Source organism: Homo sapiens, chromosome X (genome assembly GCF_000001405.40).
Source record: "Homo sapiens chromosome X, GRCh38.p14 Primary Assembly".
In the NCBI taxonomy this organism is placed as follows: Eukaryota; Metazoa; Chordata; class Mammalia; order Primates; family Hominidae; genus Homo; species Homo sapiens.
Window position 1 is genome coordinate 77639232 of NC_000023.11, and position 26302 is coordinate 77665533.

General features: G+C 36.4%; 1 protein-coding gene across 11 annotated transcripts in view; it reads right to left on the bottom strand.

Moving 5' to 3' along the window:
* Positions 1-26302, bottom strand: part of ATRX (ATRX chromatin remodeler) — a 281337-nt gene that overhangs the window by 134352 nt on the left and 120683 nt on the right. For all 11 annotated transcript variants that reach the window (XM_005262156.5, XM_005262157.6, XM_006724666.5 and 8 more), the window contains 5 exons: positions 25414-25547; positions 24151-24327; positions 17329-17422; positions 14867-14969; positions 12883-13122 (listed from right to left, as the gene is read on the bottom strand). In XM_005262156.5, the coding sequence (XP_005262213.2) occupies positions 12883-13122; positions 14867-14969; positions 17329-17422; positions 24151-24327; positions 25414-25547 (748 nt within the window). The remainder of the gene's footprint in view (positions 1-12882; positions 13123-14866; positions 14970-17328; positions 17423-24150; positions 24328-25413; positions 25548-26302) is intronic.

Here is a 26302-nt window from a genome sequence, read left to right on the forward strand (position 1 = left end):
AAGGGAGATATTCTAGGTGAGCCTGACCTAATTAAAGTGAGCCCTTTAAATGACTGAAATGCTTTTCTATTGATCTCAAAGATGAAACAATCTGCCATGTTGTGGAGAGAGAACTCTAGTAGCTAAGGACCTAAGTGTAATAACTGAAAGGAACTAAATTCTACCAACAAGTGAGTTGGAAAAGGATACAAAGTCTTAGATGAAAGCAAAACTCTAGTTAACATCTTAATTTCGGCTTGGTGGGAAACTAAGCAGAAAACCCAGTAGAGCCACGCTCACTAAGCTATTCCCAACTTCCTGACCCGTGAGACAAATAAGTTTGTCTTAAGAGGTTAAGTGTGTGGTACATTTTAATGCCACAATAAAAAAAACTAATATACAAGGCTTTAATTAAGATTTCTGAACCATATGTTCATCAGTGACTTGATGATACTTTTGTTATTAAGTGTTGTCTTCAGGATTGAGGATTAGTGTATCTTCATCCTAAATGTAGGAGGAGATAAGTTAAAAAGAAATCATCTGCCTATTAGTGACTAAGTAGATGTGTTTATGCACTCAAGCTATAATATAAGGAAACTTTATTTAACTAATAATACTGGGTATATACCCAAAGGAAAATAAATAATTCTTCCAAAAAAGACACAAGTACTCATAAGTTCATTGCCATGCTATTCACAATAGCAAAGACATGTAATCAGCCTAGGTGACCATGAATGGTGGATTAGGTAAACAAAATGTGGTACATATACACCACGGAATACTATGCAGCCATAAAGAAGAAAATCATGTCCTCTACAGCAACTTGGAGGCAGCTGGAGGCTATAAATCTAAGCAAATTCACATAGGAACAGAAAACCAAATACCACATGTTCTCCCAAGTGGGAACTAAACACTGAGCACACATGGACATCAACATGGGAACAATAGACACTATGAACTACTGGAGGGGGAGGGAAGGAAGAGGGCATAGGCTGAACAACTATTGGGTACTATGTTCACTACCACGGTGATGGGATCCACATCCCAAACCTGAGCATCACACAATATACCTAGTAACAAACCTGTACATGTACCCCCCCACCCCGTATCTAAACTAAAAGCTGAAATTTTAAAAAATGATAAATACACAGCAATGAAATAGGAGAAAAACTTAGGACAAATAATCACTTAAGGTGTAGTAAAAATAAATACAGACATGAAATATCTCCCATATCTGAATTGAAGGGAAAATAAAGGAAAAAAAATCATATGACCAAAATATTAAAAGGTTGAGCCAAACTTCTGCTTCCAGTCATGATGGTTTATTAGGAACCAGGTTTACCTTCCTGCTGTAATCAAGTAGAAAAGTAGGCAAAATATATGAAAAAAATTTTTTTCAGTCATTAAATAAAGACACCACGGGACCCTGATCCCTCAGAGTAGGAAAACCAACAAGACCCCTATATTCCCCTTGAATTGGTGCCTGAAGGATCAGGGAAAAGGGATTCCCAAGGAGAGCACTGGAGATATATCAAGTTGAAGAAACAAAGGTCAGGCTGAGATGACTGAAGTTGTGGGGCAGAACTACAAAGAAAAAAGAGCTACACAAAAAGAACTCAAAATCAAGACAGGATTCACTTTGAGTCATAGCTGAACATTAAAATGCACACATGAGGAGTGAAACTTTGTGAGGCCAGGCAGAGCATGACCAAGAAGCTGTGAGCTAAACAGCTCCCAGTGATCACATGGTGCTGGGAGGCATTCGATTTCAGAGGAGGCACAGTAGCCTCTTCGTTTATAACCCAGGGCATTCAGTAGAGACCACGAAGAGACCAAATCTTAGCAGTGGGTCAAAGCAATTCATAAATTAAAGAGTATTGAAGAAACGCATTAACCAGGCTTTTTTAAAAGCTTCAAAATTAAACTGAACTTTTTAATAAAACATTACTAGGTTTGTCAAGAAGAAAAAAAATATGAAGAATAACCAGGGGAAAAAAGAGTCAACAAAAATGGGACAAGAAGTAACAGAAATAATGAAATAGGCAGACAAGTAAAGTGAGACAGCTGATTAAAAATGCCCAAATAGGCCGGGTGTGGTGGCTCACACCTGTAATCCCAGCACTTTGGGAGGCAGAGGTAGGTGAATCGCTTGAGCTCAGGAGTTTCAGACCAGCCTGGGCAACGTGGTGAAACCTCGTCTCTACTAAAAATATATAAAAAATTAGCTGGGCATGGTGGCACACGCCTGTAGTCCCAGCTACTCAGGAGGCTGAGGCAGGAGAATCGCTTGAACCCAGGAGGCGGAGGTTCCAGTGAGCAGAGAGATCGCACCACTGCACTCCAGCCTGGGTGATAGAGCGAGCCTCCATCTCAGAAAAAAAAAAAAAAAAAATGCCCAAACACTGAAAACATGAACACAATGAAAACAAAAATAGAAGATATTTCAAAAAACTAAATGGAATTCCTAGTGATGAAAATTATAGTACACTGTAATTCACTAAGTGGATTAATATCATAATAGTGCAGAAGAAAAGATCAACAAAATTGAAGACAAAGCAAGAAAAACTATCCAAAATGAAACAGAGGGGGGAAAATAAGAAACCTATGGAACAATATTAAAGAGCATAATATATAAGTCCCAAAGAAAAATAGAACAGAAAAAAATTATTTCAAAAAATAATGATGTGAACTTTCCAAAAATTTGATGGAAGCTGGATATGGTAGCTCACACCTGTAATCCAAGATCTTTGGGAGGCCAAGGTGTGAGGATCACTTGAGGTCACAAGTTTGAGGCCAGCTTGGGCAACATAGCAAGACCTTGTTTCTACGAAAAGTTTAAAAATTAGCAATAGGGCATGCCTCTAGTCCTAGCCACTCCAGAAGCTGAGGCAAGAGTATCTCTTGAGCCCAGGAGTTTGAGGTTACAGTGACCAATTATCGTACCACTGCACTCTAGCATGGGCAACAGAGTAAGACCCTGTCTCTAAAACAAACCAACAAAAATTTGATGAAACTATAAACTCACAGATCCAACAAGTTCAAGGAACCCAGAGCAGGATAAACAAAGAAAATAAAAATCTTCAATTTCCGAAAGCCAGACATTAACAGAAAATCTTAAAATACTGAAAAATCTTTTAAGACTATCTTTCCAAGAAATAAAAGGCACATGCAGAGGAGCAAAGATGAAGGAAAAAGGAGAAAGATAACAAACAAAATGTCACAAAGAAGTAACATCTTTAAAGAGATTTTTTTAAAGTATCAATTTAGAATTCTATACCCAGGGAAAACAACTTTCAAAAATGAAGAGATTAGCTTGCTCCTGTACTTCTAGCTACTCAGAAGGCTGAAGTGGGAGAATTGCTTGAGCCCAGGAATTCCAGGCTACAGTGATCATGCTACTGCATCATTCCAAGCTGGGTGACAGAGTAAGACTGTCTCCAAAAAAAAAACAAAAAAAAAAAAGAAGGGAAAATGTAGATATCAACAAAACAATAGATTAGGAAGCTCCAAACTCCAGTTCCCACACAGAACTATTTTGTAAACAAGTAGAAACTTTCTGAACCAACTTTGTCAGAGCTCTGGAACACAGTCAAAGGTTTACAGCAACCAAGCAAATACCCAATCAAGAAAACAACATCTTAGCCAGGCATGGTGGTGACCGCCTGTAGTACAAACAACTAGGCCTAGACAGGAGAATCGCTTGAACCCAAGAATTTGAGGCTAACCCAGGCAACATAGCAAGACCCTGTCTCTAAAATAACGAAAAAGAAAAAAAGTCACCTTCAATACAATAGGAACGTTTTACAGCATTTTTACTTGTCCTTGCCCCACCACCTACCAGAAGGTGAAGGTTTTAGTCTCAAAGCAGCAGCACCCTGTTTCCCAGTATCCTCCCACAAACCAGAGGGAGCAAAGCAGATGTTATTTACAAATTATTGTGTAAATTTTATCTAACCTGTCTGAAGGATACTTGAAGGACTGACATAAGGCTCTCATCATTTCTTCACCTAACTCAGAGCTCTGGTGAGAAGGACAACAAGAACAGCTTTAAAACACACACACACACACACACACAAAACAACTGCAACGTGACTACAGGCCTGGGGCAAGGCATTACAGGGGAACACTCCCAAAACACCACCTAAGGCCCAAATAGCTAGAGATAGGACACTTTTGGAATTTTTTTTTTCAAGATACAGGGTCTTGCTTTGTCACCAAGGCTGGAGTGCTGTGGTGTAATTATAGCTCACTGCAGCACTGAACTCCTGGGTTGAATTGATCCAGCCACCTCAACCGATCTAGCCACCTCAACCGATCTAGCCACCTCAACCGCCCAAGTAGCTGGGACTATAGGTGTGCACCACCACGCCCAACTAGTCTTTATTTTTGTAGAAACAGGGTCTCACAATGTTGCCCAGGCTGGCCTCACACAACTGGGCTCAAGCTATCCTCCTACCTCAGCCTCCAGAGTTGCTGGGACTACAGGTATGAGCCACCACACGCAGCTACTTTTAAATTTGGGACACTCAAAAGCAACCAGGTATATAGGATAATTCAGAAAGCCATATGTGTGTCCAGGTAAAATACATGCTCAGAAAAGATCTTTATTAAAATCTTAAGTTTTCCCCTCAGGCTTATCTTTAGGTTTAGTGGAAGCCTAGTTATGGATTAAAGGAGTGCACCAGCACAATCAATCTACAAACAGAGAGAGCAGGCATTAAAAAAAAAAAGCCTTCTTTTATTTTTTGAGATGGAGTCTTGCTCTGTCGCCCAGGCTGGAATGCAATGGCGCAATCTTGGCTCACTGCAACCTCTGCCTCCCGGGTTCAAGCAATTCTTGTGCCTCAGCCTCCCGAGTAGCTGGGATTGCAGGCACGTGCCACCATGTCTGGCTAAATTTTTTGTATTTTTAGTAGAAATAGGATTTCACCATGTTGGCTAGGCTGGTCTCGAACTCCTGAATCCAGGTGATCCGCCTGCCTTGGCCTCCCAAAGTGCTGGGATTATGGGCGTGAGCCACCACACCCAGCAGACGTTCAAAAAAATCTTTCAAAACATTAGTTGAACATGAATGAAAGGGACAGAGACTTTACTGATGACACACAACAAGAACACTCTTTGAAAAAATAATGTGGGGGAGTCTTAAAACAATAGGTCTACTACAATTTATATATATTTTAAAATCCCAGCAAACCCTTGAAAAGGGAGAGAACCTCATATGCAGAGTTGCCAAGTTACAACAGTCAAATACACAATATGCAATTTTAAAAAATCACACGAGTTGATGGGTGCAGCAAACCAACATGGCACATGTATACCTATGTAACAAACCTGCACATTGTGCACATGTACCCTAGAACTTAAAGTATTAAAAAAAATCACAAAGATACAGCCAAATAGGAAAATATGGCCCAATCAAAAGAGGATGAATAGCAGATTTGAGCAGGCAGAAGAATCAGTGAATATGAAGATATTAACTGAAATCCTCAAGTCCGAAGATCAAAAAGGGAAAAAAAAAAACTAAAGTGAAGAAACAAAAAGGGATGGGAGGGAAACCATCATGAAGAACATCTTATGTATTACGAGAGTCACAGAAGGAGAAAAGAAAAAGAAAGAAGCAACAATTATTTGATGAAATAATTGTGGAAAACTTCCCAAATTGAAGGAGAGAGACTTAAATCTACAAATACAGGAATGAACTCAAACTGGGATAAACTCAAATACGTATAGATCAAAACACATTACACACAAACTGTCGAAGGCCAAAGACAAAGAGAATATTGAAAGCAGCAAGAGAGAAGCAAGTCAACACATACAAAAAAACTTCAATAAGATCATCACCTAATTTCTCATCAAAAACTTTAGAGGCCAGAAGGCAGTGTGACAATATATTTCAAAGTGATGAATGAAAAAAAAAGTTAGCTGAGGATTCTTTTTTCTTTTTTAAAAAATAGACACAGCATCTCACTCTGTCATCCAGGCTATAGTACAATGGCATAATCATAGCTTACTGTATCCTCGAACCCCTGGCTAAAGCAATCCTCCAACCTCTCAAGTAGCTTAGACCACAAGTGTGTGCCACCACATCCAGATAATTTTTTAATTTTTTGTAAAGACAAGGTCTCACTATGTTGCCCAGTCTGGTCTTAAGCTCCTGGCCTCAAGTGATCCTCCCGCCTCGGTCTCCCAAAGTGCTGGGATTACAGGGGTGAGCTACTGTGCCAGGCATCAGCTGAGGATTCTATACCCAGCAAAATTATCCTTCAAAATAGAGGAACAAGTTAAGACACTCCTAAGCCAAATGAATTTGTTAAAACTAGACCTGCCCTATAAAAAATGCTTCCTACAGGGAAGTCTTTGGGTTGAAATGAAAGGATGCTAGAAGTAACTCAAAGCCATATAAAGAAATAAAGATCTCCTAGAAGAGATACATACAGGGGCAAATATAAAACCTAGTATCACAAAATTTTGTTTCATAACCTCACTTTTTACTTTCTTTAGGATTTAAAAGACAAAAGCATAAAATACAATTATGAATATATGTTACCATTCACGACATGTATAAAAATGTAATTTGTGATATCAATAATTGTAACAGAGTCACCACATAATATACAGGGGAATGGAGCTGTGGAAGAGTAGAATTTTTGTATGCAACTGAAGTTAAGTTCACATCAATTCAAGTAAGACTCTCATAACTTTAGGATGTTATATGTAATCTCCATGATAACCACAAAGAAAATATAGAATATACAAAAATGAAAGTGAGATGGGAATCAAAATATGTCACTGCAAAAAATTAACCAAACACAAAAGAAAGCAGTAATGGAGGAAATAATGAACAAAATAATGAACAAAATGAAAAAGGAAAACACAAAATGGCAGAAGTAAATCCTTATTTATCACTACTTACCTCAAGTGTAAATGGATTAAACTCCTGGATCAAAAAGACATAGATGGACATAATAATTTTTAAAAAATGATCCAAATACTGGTTATCTAAAAAAGGTTCGCTTTAGATCTAAAGACACAAATAAACTGAAAGTGAAAGAATAGTAAAAGACATTCCATGCAAATAACAACCAAAAGAGAGCTGAGATGACTATATAGACATCAGACAAAATAGACTTTAAGTCAGAAACTGTTACAAGAGACAAATAGGATATTATGTATTGATAATAAAGCCAGGTTCTCAAAAAATGTAATTATAAACATAAATACAACAAACAACAGAGCACCAAGACATATGAAGAAAGCACTGAAAGAACTAAAAGGAGAAATATACATCAGTGTAGTAGGGGAAAACTAAAACAAAAAAAGAGAGAAACAGTTGGAGACATAAATAGCCCAATATCAATAAAAGCGTAAAACAAGTAGACAAAGATAATTAAGGAAATATAGGACTCGAATAACACTATAAACCAATTGGAGCTGGCCACAGTGTTTCATGCCTTAATTCCACCACTTTAGGAAGCCAAGGCAGGAGGATCACTTGAGGCCAGGAGTTGGAGACCAACCTGGGCAACACTGTAAGACCCTGCCTCTGTAAAACAGTTTAAAAAAATTAGCTGGGGTGGTGGCATGCACCTATGGTCCCAGCTACTCAAGGGGCGGAGGCAGGAGGATCACTTGAGCCCAGGAGTTCGAGGCTACAGTGAGCTATGATCACGTCACTGCACTCCAGCCTGAGCAACAGAGCAAGACACTGTGTCTTTAAAAAAAAAAAAAAAATAGACCTAACAGACATATAAAGAACACTCCACTCAACAATGGTAGACTATACATTTTCTCTCAAGTGCACATTCTCAAGGACAGACCATATAATCAGGCACAAAAAAGCCTTAATAAATATAAAGAGACTGAAGTATCTTTTCCAGTCACAAGGGAATGCAACAAAAAATCCATAACAGAAGACAACTGGAAAGAACACAAATATGTGGAAATTAAATAAGTAACTAAAGGATCAAGTAAAAGATCACAAGGAAAATTAGAAAACACTTTGAGACAAATGAAAGTTAAAACACAAAATACAAAACATATGGGACGTAGAGAAAACAGTACTAAGAAGAGGATTTACAGCGATAAAGGCATACAGTAGAAAAGAAGAAAGATCACAATCAAGAACCTAACTTTACACCTTAAGGAACCAGAAAAGGAAGCACAAACTAAACCCTAGCTAGAGAATAAAAGGAAATAATACAGATTAGAGCAGGGACGAATAAAATGGTTGATGGATGCATAGATAAGACAGATATGTAATAAAGCAAATACAGCAACATGTTAAGAAATGAAGAAGCTACATGGTAGGTACATTCGTGTTCATGTTTACAATTCTCTCCATATATTTACAAATTTCACGATAAAATTGTGGGGGAACAAAATTACTAGAAAAAAATAATGAGAAAATATACACCACATATTATTCAAAAACAAATGTACACAAGATTTTTGCCTTTCATTTTAAGTAAATTTCCTTTTACATAAAAAGGAAAACACATAAATATTGAACTTTAGCTAATGATACACCTGCTAAAGCATTTGAGATAAATGAAATGATGTATGCAATTTACTATGAAATGCATAAAAAGATGTACTGATAGATAAAGATTAGTACATAAATAGGAATGTAATAAAGGAAACATGAAAATGAAAAATATGACAATGAAAAAAATCTAGGAAGTAAGTTTACAGGAAATCAATGAAATACTTTCAACCTGGCTGTATAAATGAAACTTTTCCTAAGATGTTGGAAAAGAAAGATGATGATGTCGTTACCATTATTATCAAATACAGCAGACTTCAGGTGAAAGAAAATTACCAGATAATACAGAGTCACATTACATGTTGTTAAAGGGGGAATTAACCAGAAAGATGTAATCCTAAATGTATATGTACCTAACAAAACAACTTCCAGCAAACATGAAGCAAAATCTGAGAGACCTACAAGGAGAAAGAGATGAATTAACAATTATAGTTGGAGACATCAACACTCCTCTGATTGGAGAGAATACCATTAAAACTACAGAAGATGTGAATATAATCAGCCATCAATATAATCTGATCAAAATTTATAGAATATGTCACCCAACAACAGCAGAATATAAACATTGAACATCCACCAAGACAGATCATATTCTGGCTCACAGAAATTAGAAAAGATTCAGAGCAGAGTAAAAATGAACACAAAATACCAAAATCTGTAAGATGCAGTGTTTAAACAGTATGCACAGTGGCAAATTTTATACCTTTAAAAATGCATACGTTAAAGAAGATCCAAAATCCACCTTAAGTAGCTAGAAAAAGAACAGAAAATAAGTCCAAAGAAGGATAAACACAGTAAAAAGAAGAATGAAAATCAATGAAATAGAAAAGGGTCAAACAATAGAAAAAAAATTAATGAAATCCAAAGCTGCGTTTTTTTTTTTTTTTGAGATAGTAAAATTGTGAACTTTTTGCACAGATTAATCAAGGAAAAAATGATAAAACACAAATTCCTAACAGAAACAATAAATGACAGAACCTACAAAGTATAATGAAAGACTATAAACAAATTTACATAAATAATTTGACTACTTAAATGAAATGGAAAAATTCCTTAAGTTTGAAATTTACCAAAACAGACCTAAAGAAAAAGAAAAGATCTAAATAGTTCTACATGTATTAAAGAAATGGAATATGCCAGGTGTGGAGGCTCCCTACTATAGTCACAGCACTTTGGGAGGCTGATGGGAGAGGACCACTTGAGGCCAGGGGGTCAAGACCAGCCTGGGTAGCATAATGAGACCCAATCTCTAAAATAAAAAATTAACCAGGTATGGTGGTACATGCCTGTTGTCCCAGCTACTTGGAAAGCTGAGGCAAGAGGATTGCTTGAGCCCAGGAGTTTGAGGCTGCAGTGAGCTATGATCACACTATAGCACTCTAGCCTGAGAGACAGAGCAAGACCCTATCTTGAAAGAAAGAAAAAGAAAGAAAGAAAGGAAGGAAGGAAGGAAGGGAGGAAGGAAGGAAGGAAGGATCAGCAAATGCAATACAATATATAAAAGGAGTAATATAACGTGACTAAGCAAGGTTTATTCAAGGAATACAAGACATTTTCTAGGTCACTCCAACAGATGCAATGAAAAGCATTTGAAGAAATTCACCATTTATAATTTTAAAAAAATAAATGACAGATTGGAATGGAATTAGCAAAATAGTTTTTCTTTACAGACAACACAAACGTATACATGAAAGTCACAAAGAATTTATCAAAAAAGCTACTATAACGAGTAAGTAAATTTAGAGCTTAGGACACAAGGTCATTATGCCAACATTACGTGAAACTACATTTACTATATGATATGGCTTGGCTGTGTCCCCACCCAAATCTCATCTTGAATTCCCACATGTTGTGGGACGGACCCAGTGGGAGGTAATTGAATCACGGGGGCAGGTCTTTCCTGTGCTGTTCTTGTGATAGTGAATAAGTCTCACAAGATCTATAGTTTTAAAAAGAGGAGTTTCCCTGCACAAGTTCTTCTCGTCTGCCACAATGTGAAATGTGCCTTTTACCTTCCACCATGATTGTGAGGCCTCCCCAAGCCACATGGAACTATAAGTCCAATAAAACTCTTTCTTTTATAAATTGCCCAGTCTTGGGTATGTCTTTATTAGCAGCGTGAAAATGGACTAATACAATGTAACATCAAAAATCAGGAATTACTTGGGGATAAATTTTTTAAAATATGTACTAGACCTGTACAGAGAAAACTACAAAACATTCCTAAGAGAAATTAAAGAGAAGGTAAATAAATAGAGAAGTACACTATATTCATGTAACAGGAGACAAAACACTGTTAAGATGTCTTCTGGCCACATTACAAGAAAGATTCAACAAAATTCCAACAGAAATTCCACAGGGATTTTTGTAAAAACCAACAACGTAATACTATGTGGAAATGCAAAGAACTGAGAATATCCAAAAAGATTCTGAAAAAGTGGAACAAAGTTAGAGGAGCTGTACCACAAAAAAAGGGACAAGCAGTTTTAAAGTACCTCTTAATGAGATCCAAAAGGAAGTACATATTACTGCCCATGAGTATTTCTACCAAAAAGAGAACTGAATCTAAATCTGATCAGGACTCTAGATCTTATTACCAATTTATACGAAATATAGAAGCCAGTGAAACTGTACCACAGGGATGCAAATAACAAAACTCAGAATATAGAAAATTTTACAAAAATAATCTGGTTTCTTAAGCAAATGAACTGTAAGAATGGGTAAAGAAAAAGAAAGAACCAAAGAGAAACTAGGTTAAAATTAGGTAAGAGATGTAACATCCAAATACAACAGAATATGCAGATGGCCCTTGTTAAGACCCTGATTCAAACCAACTATTTTTTTTTTTTGAGACAGAGTTTTGCTCTTGTCACCCAGACTAAAGTGCAATGGTGCAACCCTGGCTCACTGCAAGCTCTGCCTCCCAGGTTCAAGCAATTCTCCTGTCTCAGCCTCCCAAGAGGCTGAGATCACAGGCGTGCACCACCATACCTGGCTAATTTTTTTTGTATTTTTAGTAGAGACGGGGTTTCACCATGTTGGCCAGGCTGGTCTCCAACACCTGACCTCAGGTGATCCACCCGCCTCAGCCTCCCAAAGTGTTGGGATTACAGGCGTGAGCCACCGCGCCAGGCCCATACCAACTATTTTTTAAAACTACTATGTGAGGCAATGAGAGAATTCAGTTTAATAATGGCACTGCAGTAATGTTTAAAATACCATTATCTTTTAACAATACATTCCCAACTATTTATAAACAGAATATGATTTCTGAGATTTGCTCTGAAATAATCTGAAGGAAAAAGAATAGATGAAACGGCCAGGCATGGTGGCGTGCACCTGTAATCTCAGATACTCAGGAGGCTGAGACAGGAGAATCACTTGAACCCAGGAGGTGGAGGTTGCAGTGAGCCGAGATTGGGCCACTGCACTCCAGCCTGGGTGACAAGAGTGAAACTCCATCTCAAAAAAAAAAAAAAAAAAAAAAAAAAAAAAGATGAAACAAGACTCGTCCTGTGTTAGTAACTGCTGAAACTGAGTTAATAGATCCAGGGAGAATTATTATATTATTCTCTCCACCTGTGAATTTGAAAACTTTTGTAACATAAAGTCCATTTAAAAAACTGAAATCTTTTATGGATTTAAGAAGTAATTTTGAAACATTTCTCTACCCAAAATACAACATAACCATTTTGGTGATCATTCAAGAATCTCAATGCTTTCCATGCACTTAATTAAATTAATAAAGCTTAATGACTATTTTAAGTTGCATGAAATAGTGACAGTAGGAAAAATCAATTGCAACTAGAAATCCTGTGGTTGAGGCTGGGCAAGGTGGCTCACACATGTAATCCCAGTACTTTGGGAGGCTGAGGCAGGTGGATCACTTGAGGTCAGGAGCACAAGACCAGCCTGGCCAACATGGTGAAACCCCAACTCTACTAAAAAATACAAAAATTAGCTGGGTGTGGTAGTGCATGCCTGTAGTCCCGGCCACTTGGGAGGCTGAGGCACAAGAATCACATGAACCCAGGAGGCAAAGGTTGCAGTGAGCTGAGATCATGCCACTGCAATCCAGCCTGGGTAACAGAGCCAGACTCCGTCTAAAAAAAAGAAATCTGTGGTAGATTACAACATTCTACTCTTAAAATGCTGAAATATATTGAAGTCATATACCAAATAAAATAAATCATTAATAGAAATAAATTAAGGCTGGGTGTGTTGACTCACGCCTGTAATCCCAGAAGTTTAGGAGGCCAAGGTAGGAGGATCACTTGAGCCCAAGAGTTCGAGGCCAGCCTGGGCAACAGAGCAAGACCCTGTAGCTACAAAAGAAAAAGAAGAAGAAAGAAATTAGTTACCTCTCTCAATTTTTCTCGCTCACGCTCCCTCTCAGCAATACGTTTTCGTCTCTCTTCCTCTTCCTTAAGAGCATTTTGTGTTTCTGTTCTCAGTTTATCATCTTTAAGAATCTTCCGAATTTTCTTTCTGCCTTTTCCAGGAGACTTGGAATCATCATTTTCATCTTCCTCCTCCTCTTCCTCCTCCTCCTCCTCTTCCTCCTCCTCTTCTTTTTCCTCCTCTTCTTCCTCAGAATTACTCTACAGAATTTAAACAATTAGAGGTAAACAGTACAAAGTCATTTAATTTATCCATTTCATATTCCATTAATTAACACAGCAGGAAAAGGTGGAAGAAAACATGCTGAAAACCTTTAGAATTATATTCAGCAATAGAGTAGTATTAAAAAAAAAAAAACAACTCTTCGGCCGGGCACGGTGGCTCACACCTATAATCCCAGCACTTTGGGAGGCCGAGGCGGGTGGATCACAAGGTCAGGAGATAGAGACCATCCTGGCTAACACGGTGAAACCCCGTCTCTACTAAAAATACAAAAAAAAAAAATTAGCCGGGCATGGCAGTGTGCGCCTGTAGTCCCAGCTACTCAGGAGGCTGAGGCAGGAAGATGGTGTGAACCCAGGAGGCGGAGCTCGCAGGGAGCCGAGATCGTGCCATCAGACTCCAGCCTGGGCGACAGAGCGAGACTCTGTCTCAAAAAAAAAAAACAACTCTTCAACACCTATTAAAAAAAACAAACAACTCAATTAAAAATGGGCTACCAACTAGAATAAACATTTCTCAAAAGAAGATATAAGCATATGAAAAGATGTTGAATATCACCAGTCATTAGGAAAATACAAAACAAAACCACAAAGAAATGCCACTTCCCACTCATTAGGATGTTTCTTGTTAAAAAAAAAAAAAAAAAGAAAAAAAGAAAAAAAGAAAGAAACAAAGGAAGTGTTGGCAAAGATGCAGACAAATTGGAATCTTGGTACATTGCTAACGGGAACGTCAAATGTTACAGATACCAGAGAAAAACAGTGTGGAGTTTTCCAAAAGTTAAACATACAACTACTATATGATGTAGCAATTCCATTTTTCCATATATACCTAGAATAATTAAAAACAGGGACTCAGATATGTAAACACCCATATTCATAGCAGTATTATTCAAAATAGCCGAAAGGTAGAAACAACCCAAATGTCCATCAACAGATGACTGGGCTAACAAAATGTGGCACACACTTACAATGGAATATTATTCACCTTAAAAAGGGAATGAAATTCTGATATATGCTAAAACATGGATGAACCTAGAAAATATTATGTCAATGAAATAAGCCAGACACAAAAGGACAAATATTGCATGATTCAACTTATATATATGAGGTACTTAAAATACACAAATTCTTGGAGACATAAATGAAAATAGAGGTTACCAGGGGATGGGGGATAGAAGGAAATGGTGTTAATGTTTAATGAGTGAAGAGTTTCTGCTTGTGAATATAATTAAGGCCACTGAACTGTACATTTTAAAATATTTTAAAAGTTAATTTTCAAAAGACAAATATCCCTCTGAAGAGCATTGTGTTGACAGAATCAAACATATTACAGACACCTTTTACTTTATGTAAGCCTGCTTAAATACAAAAATTCAAATTGGCTGATTTCACTATGAGAAGAAATTTATTCATATATGAGTCATCATTCAGGATAGTATTTTGTCTTCAGAAAATAGAACACTCACATCACTACAAATGTAAAATAATGAATTAGAATGGCTTAAATAAAATTCCATTAGAAATTAAGGAATAGAAAAAAATGATAATGTCAAATCAATACTTTTACATATATATATTCAATAACCAATCCTTCCACAAGTGTAAAATGTAAATAAGCCAGTACAATACAATGAATGAATGGAACAGAGAGGTAACAGCATAATTACCATAGTCTACTGTACTGGTTATAATTCAAGCATGTGGTAAATGTCATTATTACCTTGTTTTCACTGGATGAATCTTCTTGAACCTTAATACGTCGCCTTTTCTTTTTCTGTTTATAGCTCCGCTGATTTTCTTCCAACTCTGCTTTCTTTGCAGACCTGACGAAAATTTAAAACACAAAATAAAATATTTCATGATAAACTTCCATCAATAAGTTATGTACTATTTTAAAACTGTTCTACCTCTGTATGCATTCCTAAAAACAAACAGAAAAAAAATCAATAGGTTCAAAATGGATATTCCAGCAGCAGCCTAACCCTTCATTTTAATCCAATGATCAACATTTTACAGTATCCTGAGGGGAGGTTTGTTATATGAGTAAGAAGATGCATAAAAGGACATTAAGACTATTCTTCTAGTATAAAATACAAACAGCCAATAGACATACTAAAAAACATTCATCATCACTAAAAAAAAGCAGATTACAAATTTGAATACTGTTTTCTTCATAACAGGTCACAGAGATTTAAAAAAAAAAGTAACAACTTTTGGTGAGAAAAATATTTCTGGGCTTAGAAATTGGTACACAAAGCTACATTAATCCAGACAAAATAACCACTGTCAGTAAGGATGTGGAGAAAGTGAAACCCTGTTCACTATTAATGGAAATGTAAAATGGTGCAGCTGCTATGGAAACATTATGGCAGTTCGTCAAAAAATTAAAAATAGAATTACCATGCAATTCCTTTTCTGGGTATATACCCAAAAGAAATGAAAGCAAGGACTTGAAGAGATATTTCTACACCCATGTTCAAAGCAGCATTATTCATGATAGCCAAAAGGTTACAAATCAAATGTCCATCAACAAATAAATTGATAAACAAAACGTGGTATACAATGGAACATTAAGTCTTTAAAAGGAAGAAAATTCTGAAACATGCCTCAACATACATGAAGCTGGAGCACATGATGCTAAGTGAAATAAGCCAGTCAAAAAAGACAAATACTGTATGATTCCACTTATATGAGGTTCCTAGAGTAGTAAAATTCATAGAGACAGAAAATAGAATGGTGGTTGCCAGGGGCTTCAGGGAAGAGGAAAAAGAGAGTGGTTTAATGAGTAACATTTCAATTTTGCAAGGGGAAAAGGTTTTGGAGATTGGTTCAAAAAAAGTGAATGTACTTAACACTACTAAGCCATACACTTAAAAATCGTTAAGATGAAAATAAAAATTCCCAGTAATACCATGAAAGAAAAAAAATGGTTAAGATGGTAAATGTTATGTGCATTTTACCACTATTAAAAATAATCATTAAAGAAAGAATGAAGTACTGATACAGGCTACAACATGGATGAACCATGAAAACATTATGCTAAGTGAAAAAAAAATCCATTCATAAAAGGATATACATTATATGAATCAACTCATGCAAAATATCCAGAACAGGCAAATCCATAGAGACAGAAAGTAGATTTTAGTGTTTATTAGAGTACGAGGGCATGGGGAATGGAAAATGACTGCTAGTAAGTACAGGGTTGTTTTCTTGGATGATGGAAATGTTCAGAAATTATAGAGTGGTGTTTGTTGCACAACTTTGCAAATATTCTGAAGACCACTGTATTCCACAGTATAACATGCTGAATTGTATCTTGGTTTAAAAAAAAAAAAAACCTCTCATCATATCTTATCATTTTCATTTTATATTGACTTAAAGTATAATATATTGCTATATTCTAAGCACAACCTGGTAAGTATTAACCTAAAAAAACCTCGAATGTTCTAAAACTTACAAATGCAGATAGACACCTTTGTAGACATACATACACAAACACACACAGATTGTTCATTTGATAAACTGTAGAAAGATTATGTTATTCTGGGGGAAATAAGAAAATTGTAGTAGTAGTATTATCTAACATACCATACTAAGAAGGAAGCCAAATTTTAAATTACAGGTAATCTAGATCAGTGACTGTTCGTGTTACAAGAACAAGCATATCATTATTACTGTAGTACTACTGAGACCAATAATTTATATATTGAGCACTTACTATTTGCCAGGTAGGTACTATTATAAACCTTGTACACGTATTGTCTCATTTAATGCCCACAATAGTCAGTCAAGTATATTGTAATCCCCCACTTTACAGATGAGGAAACTGAAGCATAGATTATTTATACAAACAGAAAGTAGAAAAGCCCAAAGTTAGACTGAGGCAGTTTTTCTATAAAGCCTCTTTACTATTATCCTACAATTTCCCCCGTAACAATAAAACACTGCAGACACGAGTGGTTTTGCAGACTGAAAATCTACCCAGGTTAGAATACATAATTCAACTACACATAAAATATGCTTAGATTCTTTTTAAACTATTAAGTATAACAATTAGTTTCAAATCAAAATATTATATATCACACTAACTTAACTTTATTGGTAACAGTAACCATATAAATCATTTGAAGGCATGGTCATTCAGATTAATTCCTAAAATTTTTTAAAAACCAATTATAATACCTTGTTCTGGGCCGCTGTTCATCTTCGGATTCACTAACTTCTTCACTAACTCCTGATTCCTGAAAATCAGAATCTTCTGAATCTTCACTGCTCACTTGAATTTTAAAAAATACATAAAATTATTAATTATTTTTCAATAGAAACCTAATTCACTTAATTTACCACTGACTCGACATTAAAACAGAGCATTGTAAGAACATCAGAGGTATATATGTGAATGGATAATACATAATATAGAATATACCAGTTAATGCTTTACATGATATACATAAAATTCAGATGTATTTCTAATGTAATTATAAAACTGTGGTTGTACATTAAAATATAAGTATTCAATTGTATATGAATTGACAGAATAAGAATAAATTACCTGTCAATAAAATATATGTAATTACCAAAGGTAAATTAATGAAAAAGAAGTTTGGCTATTCAAAACAAGCAAGGTAGGCTGGCCAAGATGGAGTAAGATTACAGATTGTCTCCACCAATGATGACACAACCGAAGAACTCGGAAAGGGAAACAATAATAGGCAGATTGGAGACTGAAATCAAAACTTGAATAATGACCCCTCTACAATTGGTGGAGGGGAGAGAGCTGTGAGGGCGTATGGTTATTTTCTTTCTTTGTTTCCTGGTTTTGACCAGAAGGCAGGCTAAATTCCAAAGGTATGCAGACGGTACTGACAACAAGACTGTGAAGAAAAATCCCTATTTCTAGCCACAACACCAGGAAAATCAGGCTCTACATGTGGAATCCTCAATTTTCTTTTTCTCACAATTAACACAGTAATGGAAGCATATAAAATTCCAGGAGAAAACCTCTTTCTGGCCAGAGGAAGCAGGGCAGAAAAAAATACAAGATAAGCTTACAACATCTTATAGTGCCAGAAAACAAAGCAGTGTTCAAACATGGGCAGGCACATGTTGAAAGGACACAAGATTCAACTTGAAGGAGCTCCCAACAACCAAAGCTAGAACAATTTGAGCAATAAAATAAATGATACTATTTGATTATAACTGGTAAAATAAAAATCTATAAGTCATATTGATATAAATAATGCAATAAATAAATAGGGGAAAACAAATCTCCCTTACAATTACTAAATGTGGAAGTAATGAAATAAATAGAAAATTACAACTAGGCAAATACCACAGTACTAACTGCTTCACCCAAGATGCATACTAAAATTAGTGGGCTTAAGTATGATAAGAAACAGGATATATGCATGGTCACAAAGTATCTCCCAACAAAATACTAAATATAGATAGAAAAATAATATTTTCTTCTTTACAGTGGAAAAATACCAGCAGACACCAACTTAAGCAAGTAACAAAAGTTAACCGTGAGAGTAATAAGACATATTGACGGCTGGGCATGGTGGCTCACCCCTGTAATCCCAGCCCTTTGGGAGGCCAAGTTGAGAGGATCACTTGAGCCCACGAATTTGAGACCAGCCTGGGCAACATAGGGAGATTCTGTCTCTACAAAAAAAATTTAAAAATTAGCCAGGCATGATGGTACACACCTGTGGTCCCAGCTACTTGGGAGGCTGAGACGAGAGGATCACTTGAGCCCAGGAGGTTGAGTCTGCAGTGAGCCATGATCGCACCACTGTACTCCAGCCTGGGCAACAGAGCGAGGTCTTCTCTCAAAAAAAAAGACATACTGACATCATCTATTCTTGATATCATGCACTGAAGACACAACATCACTTCTGTGGTATTCTGTCAAAATGCATAATAATCTCAATTCGATCATGAGAAAACATTAGACAAATATATATCAAGGAACAGTTGAGAAAATAAGGAATCAACACTCCACAAGTGTCAAGGTCATCAAAGTAAAGACTGAGGAATTGTCACAGGCTGAAGTAGATTAAGGAGACATTATAACTCGATGCAATGTGAGATCCTGGATTGAATCATAGAGCAGAAAGAAAACATTAGTGGGAAAACTAATCTCTGAATAAGATCTATAGTTTACTTCAGAGGTCATAAAACATTTTATGTAAAAAGTTTGATAGTAAATATTTTTGACTTGTGGACCGTATGGTCTCTGTTGCAACTACTCATCTCTACTCAACTTTGCCATTGTACATATGTGAAAACAGTAAATTAATGAATATGGCTGTGTTTCAATAAAAGCTTATTTATAAAAACAGGCAGAGGATCAGATTTGGCCCACAGGTGCAGTTTGTAAACCCCCGGCTTAGTTGATAGTATTGTACCAATATTAATTTCCTGGTTTTGATCATGGTACTATGATAGGGTATTAAATCAGGGAAGCTAGGTGAAAGATACACAGAACTCTGCACTATTTGTGTAACATTTCTGTAAATCAAGAATTGTTTCAAAATAATTTTTTAAAAAAATCTATCATAACCTGAGATCAGAATCAAAGATCTATTCCAGCTTTTTAAAAAATGAGAGAACATAAATGCTAACAGAAATGCTATAAATGGGAGAACATAAATGCTATAAAGAAATGTCGGGGGAGAGGGGAACAAAGAGTTATTGTTTAATGGTTAAAGAGATTCCATTTGGAATGACGACACGTTTTAGGGACAGACAGAAGTTATGGTTGTATAAAAATGTGAATGTACTTAATGTCACTGAATCATACACTTAAAAATGGGTAAAATGGTAAATTTTATGTTACATATATTTTACCACAATAATAAAAAAAAAGAATAGCTAAGCAACTGGAAAGCTGGGAGAATACCAAAAACACACACACTGACACAAAAAAATCCTGTAATTAAGTATAATTTTAAGCCTAGTATTAATTGTTCACCCAGCATTTTAAAATTTTTGAAATCTACCAAAAATTTGAAAGAATTATTGAATGAACACTTGTATCCCTTCTCCTAAATTCACTTATTGTTAGCAGTTTACCACATTTGCTTTTTTTCTTTCTCTCTCTACACACACACACACACACACACACACACACACACACACACACAGGCAGACACAACTTTTCTTACACTGAACCATGTGATATTAAGCGCGGATGACACTTTACCCCTAAGCATAAGGATACTGCCCTACATAACTAAATACCATTATCACATCTGAAAAAAAAATTACTATCATCTAATATGAAGGCAATATTTACAATTTCAAATTGTCACTAAAATAATTTTGTAACATTTTTCTAATTTAGGAGAAAATTAGAGTTCACATGTTGCACTTTGTTCTTATACCTCTTCAATGCATTTCAATTTAATTCAACTAGATTTAATAAGCAGACTATTCACTACTGATTTTTTCCCATCTCTCAATTCAAATTTCCAAATAATATAGGAACATTAGAATTTACAAAACTCAGAAAATCATGCAACTTCAACTATATATCAACCACTATGATCACAATCCATATTAGAAACACAAATATGATGAGATTTTAGAAGTTTACTCTCTCCTACACAAACAAAAAACAACAACAACAAAACCACTTGGGTAATAAATTACCCACAGAATCAGGCTGTAGAAACACAGATCACAGAAAACTCAGGTTTTAATAAAGCAAATCTCAAATGTAATCATATATATTAAAAGGGTCTATATATTGAACTAAGCTTCAGAAGCAAAATCAATATTGCCCCTTTTGTTGAAGAGGCACAGGAATCCATGTTGTGATATATAACATGCTAAATCACACAGTTCCTTTATAGAATCTGTAAGAGCTTGCAGCCATATTGCAAAGAAATTTATAAGACAAGCTGGGCGCAGTGGCTCACGCCTGTAATCCCAGCACTTTTGGGAGGCCGAGGCGGGTGGATCACGAGGTCAGGAGATCGAGACCATCCTGGCTAACACGGTGAAACCCTGTTTCTACTAAAAATATAAAAAATTAGCCGGGCATGGTGGTGGGCGCCTGTAGTCCCAGCTACTAGGGAAGCTGAGGCAGGAGAATGGCATGAACCCGGGAGGCAGAGCTTGCAGTGTGAGCCGAGATCGCGCCACTGCACTCCGGCCTGGGCGACAAAGCAAGACTCCGACTCAAAATAAATAAATAAATAAATAATAAAAATAAAAAAATAATAATAATAAAAAAGAAATTTATAAGACAAGTAGTCACAAAATGATGTACTATTATTTATTAACATTAAAATGTCCATGACATATTAATTGTATATGTGTGTGGCAAGAACTTCTCCCCCTCATCTTTAGTGAATAACTCTTGCCCAAAAGCCCTATAAATGTTTAGGATTCCAAGACTATGTCCTTAGCTTTCCATTTGTAAAACATTACAACTCCACTGAATAACCTCAACTATTTCTGTGATATTGTACATACACCATGACAACTCTAAAAACCTGACACTCATTGTAGACTTTTCCCTTTCATACCAATTAAGAAGACCTAACAATTCAACCTCCTATAAGACTCAAGTCAATCTTCCTCTTCTCCAACAACCCCATTTGTCATCAACTACAGCAATACCTTCCAAACATTCAGTGCCTTCATTCTCACTGAATAGTAAGGAACTAATCTGATCATATGATATCTTTGATTAAAATCTTTCAATAGGGAAAAAAGTGGTCATGCTGAGATTGTGATTCTTGGGTGTTAGTAATCAACATCTTGTTCCTTGATCTGGGTGCCCTACGTTTTCATCAAGATGTCTACTTATTGATAATGTGCACTTCTTTGTACATACATTTCAAATAAAACATTTTTTAAAGTGGTGGTAATCCTCTATGATTATACTAAAAACTGCTAAATTGTATACTGTAAATGGTGAACTGTGTGGTTTGTGAGTTATATCTCAATATAGCTGTTATACAAAAAATTTAAAAATAAGGCCGGTACGGTGGCTCACGCCTATAATCCCAGCACTTTGGGAGGCCGAGGTAGGTGGATAACCAGAGGTCCAGAGTTCAAAAATAAATACAGTAATTGAAAAAAAAAAAAAAACTTTTCAATGGCTCTGCATCCTTTAGAGCCTATTATATTTCCCAAACACTTGCAAAAATGCGTTCCTATTCCCAGTTGGCAAAGAAGAGTTCATCTGCCATCCATGGGTTGGGTACTAACAACAGTCTTCAAAATTTACCCCTAGTCATCAAAAAGCCCACCACAGCAACAACAAAAAAATTCTTTGAACTTTTTGTTACCCAAAATTCGCAGGCAAATATCACATTTAATTACCCAATATATATTATTTAACATAAAATGACCTTCCCCAAACCTCAAATTATAAATAGAGACACCAAAGAGATGTACACCTTGGTATACCACCCAGTACTCCAGTGTGAAAAACACAGGCTTACAAAGATCTCCAGTATCTGGTCTCTGTTTTACAGGCCCAGCTTCATCCCCTGTTGTTCCTTTCCCTACTCCTATCTATAGAGCAGCTTATACTATATTAATTGTATCCCATCCATCATGTGCCAACATTTTACACAGGTTTTAAAATTTTTTTCCCTGCTTGTGTTGTAAATCTTCACAACAATCTACGTGCTCCCACATTTTGAATTTAATCTGTTGGGTAAAAGCCTTCTTTGTGAAGCCTTCTCTGGGGTAACTCCTACCCCTCAAGAAGCTAAAGAAGCCCTTCTTTGTGCCACATTATATAATTACGTTACACAAAATGTCCCTCATGGTGCTATAATTTTTTTATAATACAAAGGTCAATAATTCTTACTAAACCAGTGACTGCCAAACCTAGTTACCTATCAGAATCACTGAGATACATTTTTATTCATTTTTGTATCCTCAATGCCCACCATACTGCTGGAAACATGTAAGCCCTCAATGCAAAAGGACTCAGGCTTTTAATGAAATGGAAATCTACTCTGACTATATGCCAGTCAAGTTCTGCATATAAGCTTGCATAAATTTACCCAAATTAATTTCATTTTCTACCCTTCTACAGGAAAGCACTAATTCTGCAGTTGTATGCAATCTTATACTTTCTACATAATGTTTTATTTATTAAATCATATTTATTTCTCTTTATAATCTAAAGGTTAAAAATATTCTTTGTGTCATCTAAAGTTTCTGGGTTATCTTCCCACTCTAAATTATTAATTTTAATCTCATGTGATAGTATACTTGTTGCCAGTGTACTGACATTTGCTTAATATAAGTGGTCAACTGTTTGAGCAGATATGCTTAAATTTTTTTTTTTTTATTTTTCTTGGAGAAAGAGTCTCGCTCTGCCGCTCAAGTTGGACTGCAATGGCGCAATCTCAGCTCACTGCTGCAACCTCCGCCTCCTGGGTTCAAGCGATTCTCCTGCCTCAGCCTCCAGAGTAGCTGGGACTACAGGTGCGTGCCACCAAACCCAGCTAATTTCTTATATTTTTAGTAGAGACGGGGTTTCACCGTGTTAGCCAGGATGGTCTCAATCTCCTGACCTTGTGATCCACCCGACTTGGCCTCCCAAAGTGCTGGGATTACAGGTATGAGCCACCGTGCCTGGCCATACACTTAAATTTCATTACTATAATTAGTTTACAAAACCAGTATTTTTTTTGTTTTTGCTTTTGTTTTTGAGACAGGGTCTCACTCTGTCGCCCAGGCTGCAATGCAGTGGTGCAATCGCTGCTCACTACAGCCTTGACCTCCGGGGCTCAGGTGATCCTCCCACCTCAGCCTCCCAAGTAGCTGGGACTACAGGTGCACACCACCACACCCAGCTATTTCTTCTATTTTTCATAAAGATGAGGTTTCCCTATGTTGCCCAGGCTGGTCTTAAACTCCTGGGCTCAAGCAATCTGCCCACCTCAGCTTCCCAAAGTGCTAGGATTACAGGCATAAGCCACTGTCTGGTCCAATATGTTCTTTACATTCAGAATTAAAACATCTTACCCTTTCTTCTGTTTCTGCCTTTGACTTCTTTATGCTCTTTAGGCTTTGTCTTTTTTTCTTCTCCAGATTCTCCGTCACTCACAGTCAATTTGTGCCGCAAAAGCCTATGTCTGTATCTTGGCTTCTTAGATTCTTCAGAATCTGAATCTGATTCAGAATTGACTTGATTTTTTGCTTCTAAATGAAGGAAATAAATCAATAAAACCTTCTTCAGCCTTTAAAATGCCTCGTATATCTATTTTGCCTGTTGACAACTACTGCAACTTATGAAAAAAATCAGAGTTAGACACATACTTTGGTATCATTGGTGTTATCAGGTAATCTCACACATCAGACTTGACATATTACTATTATTAAATATTGACTAAATATCACCTATATATTTATAGAACCCTTTGTAAGGTATAAAATATTTTGCTTTGAAAATCATCTGTTTAGGGCCGGGTGCAGTGGCTCACACCTGTAATCCCAGCTCTTTGGGAGGCCGAGGTGGGCAGATCACCTGAGTTCGGGAGTTCAAGACCAGCCTGATCAACATGGAGAAACCCCGTCTCTACTAAAAATACAAAATTAGCAGGGTGTGGTGGCGCATGCCTATAATTCCAGCTACTCGGGAGGCTGAGGCAGGAGAATCGCTTGAACCCGGGAGGCAGAGGTTGCAGTGAGCCAAAATTGCGCTATTGCACCCCTGCCTGGGCAACAAGAGCAAAACTCTGTCTCAAAAAAAAAAAAAAAATCATCTGTTTATTGGCAGTAACTGACAAAATTAGAGTAACTTCCATAATTATTACAAGATATTCAAGAGAAGTCATGGTAATAAAGTTTTAAACATTTCCATGAACTCTAAATACAAGTATTAAGAGATTTTTTTTCTTCTTCTTCTTCTTCTTCTTTTTGAGATGGAGTCTCGCTTTGTCACCCAGGCTGGAGTGCAGCAGCGTGATCTCGGCTCACTGCAACCTCTGCCTCCCAGGTTCAAGTGATTCTCCTGCCTCAGCCTCCTGAGTAGCTGGGACTACAGGCACGCACTATCACGCCCAGCTACTTTTAGTAGAGACAGGGTTTCACCATGTTGGTCAGGCTGGTCTCAAACTCTTAACCTCAAGTGATCCACCTGCTTCGGCCTCCCAAAGTCCTGAGATTATAGGCGTGAGCCACCACGCCGGGCCATATTAAGATATTTCTTGGTCAGATATTCTTCAAAGACTGAATTAGTCAAGGAATCAAATTATGACATTATAAACTTCTCTCTGGGGAGCTCACCCTCATCTCCTGGGTTTTCTTCATTTTGTTTTCCAGTTCTTTTTTTCCCTTCTTCTGGCTCATCATCTGAAGATCCATCCTCATCAGAGGAAAGATTGGCTTTAATTTCTTCTAAAAGCATCTTCTTGGCAATTCTTGAGAGTAAAAAACAATAAAAAAAGAACTATATATCTGGGGGTGAAATACACCAAATTAAAAATAAAAACAGACTTCTTTGAATCAAAATAGAAATAAATGTGCCAATAGATTTTATATTGTAAATAAACAACTAGCAAAACCATGTTTTAACCTAAGCTATAAACAAAAACTTTTAAAAATGTTCTTTACACTTATTATTTCTCAATTCTATACAATTCTGCAATATATTGAAAACTCTGAAGGACATATTCTATTGACTATTTTTACCAATTGCAATTTGATGCTGCATAACCTTCCAATCCTCTATTTGCTTTGCTGACACCATCCTACAACTACAAAGTCAGACAGGTCAACAACAGTAAATGAACTTGTTCAGATAAATGGCATTCCAAGATAAAACTCCACGAGAGGTTTTATTCAACAGCAAAATATATTCTTGGAAAACCAATGTGTAATAAACCACTATATAATGACACCTTGCTTCAAACTAGAGGATGATAGTTTTGGACCTTAATTTCAATGTACTACATAAATGCTGTGAACCAGATGAAAGCATACACAAATGTTAAGTATTACAGCAATAAATAATCTCTAATAATATTCAAGACAGGGGAAAGAAGGGACATGAGTGCTATTAATTACATACATGGTAAAAAGAACACGAATTACCATAAATGGGTTACTTTAAAAAAAATAGTGCAGTTGCTTCACTCACAACAAAATTTCTCAAGATGCTCCTCAAAGACCAATT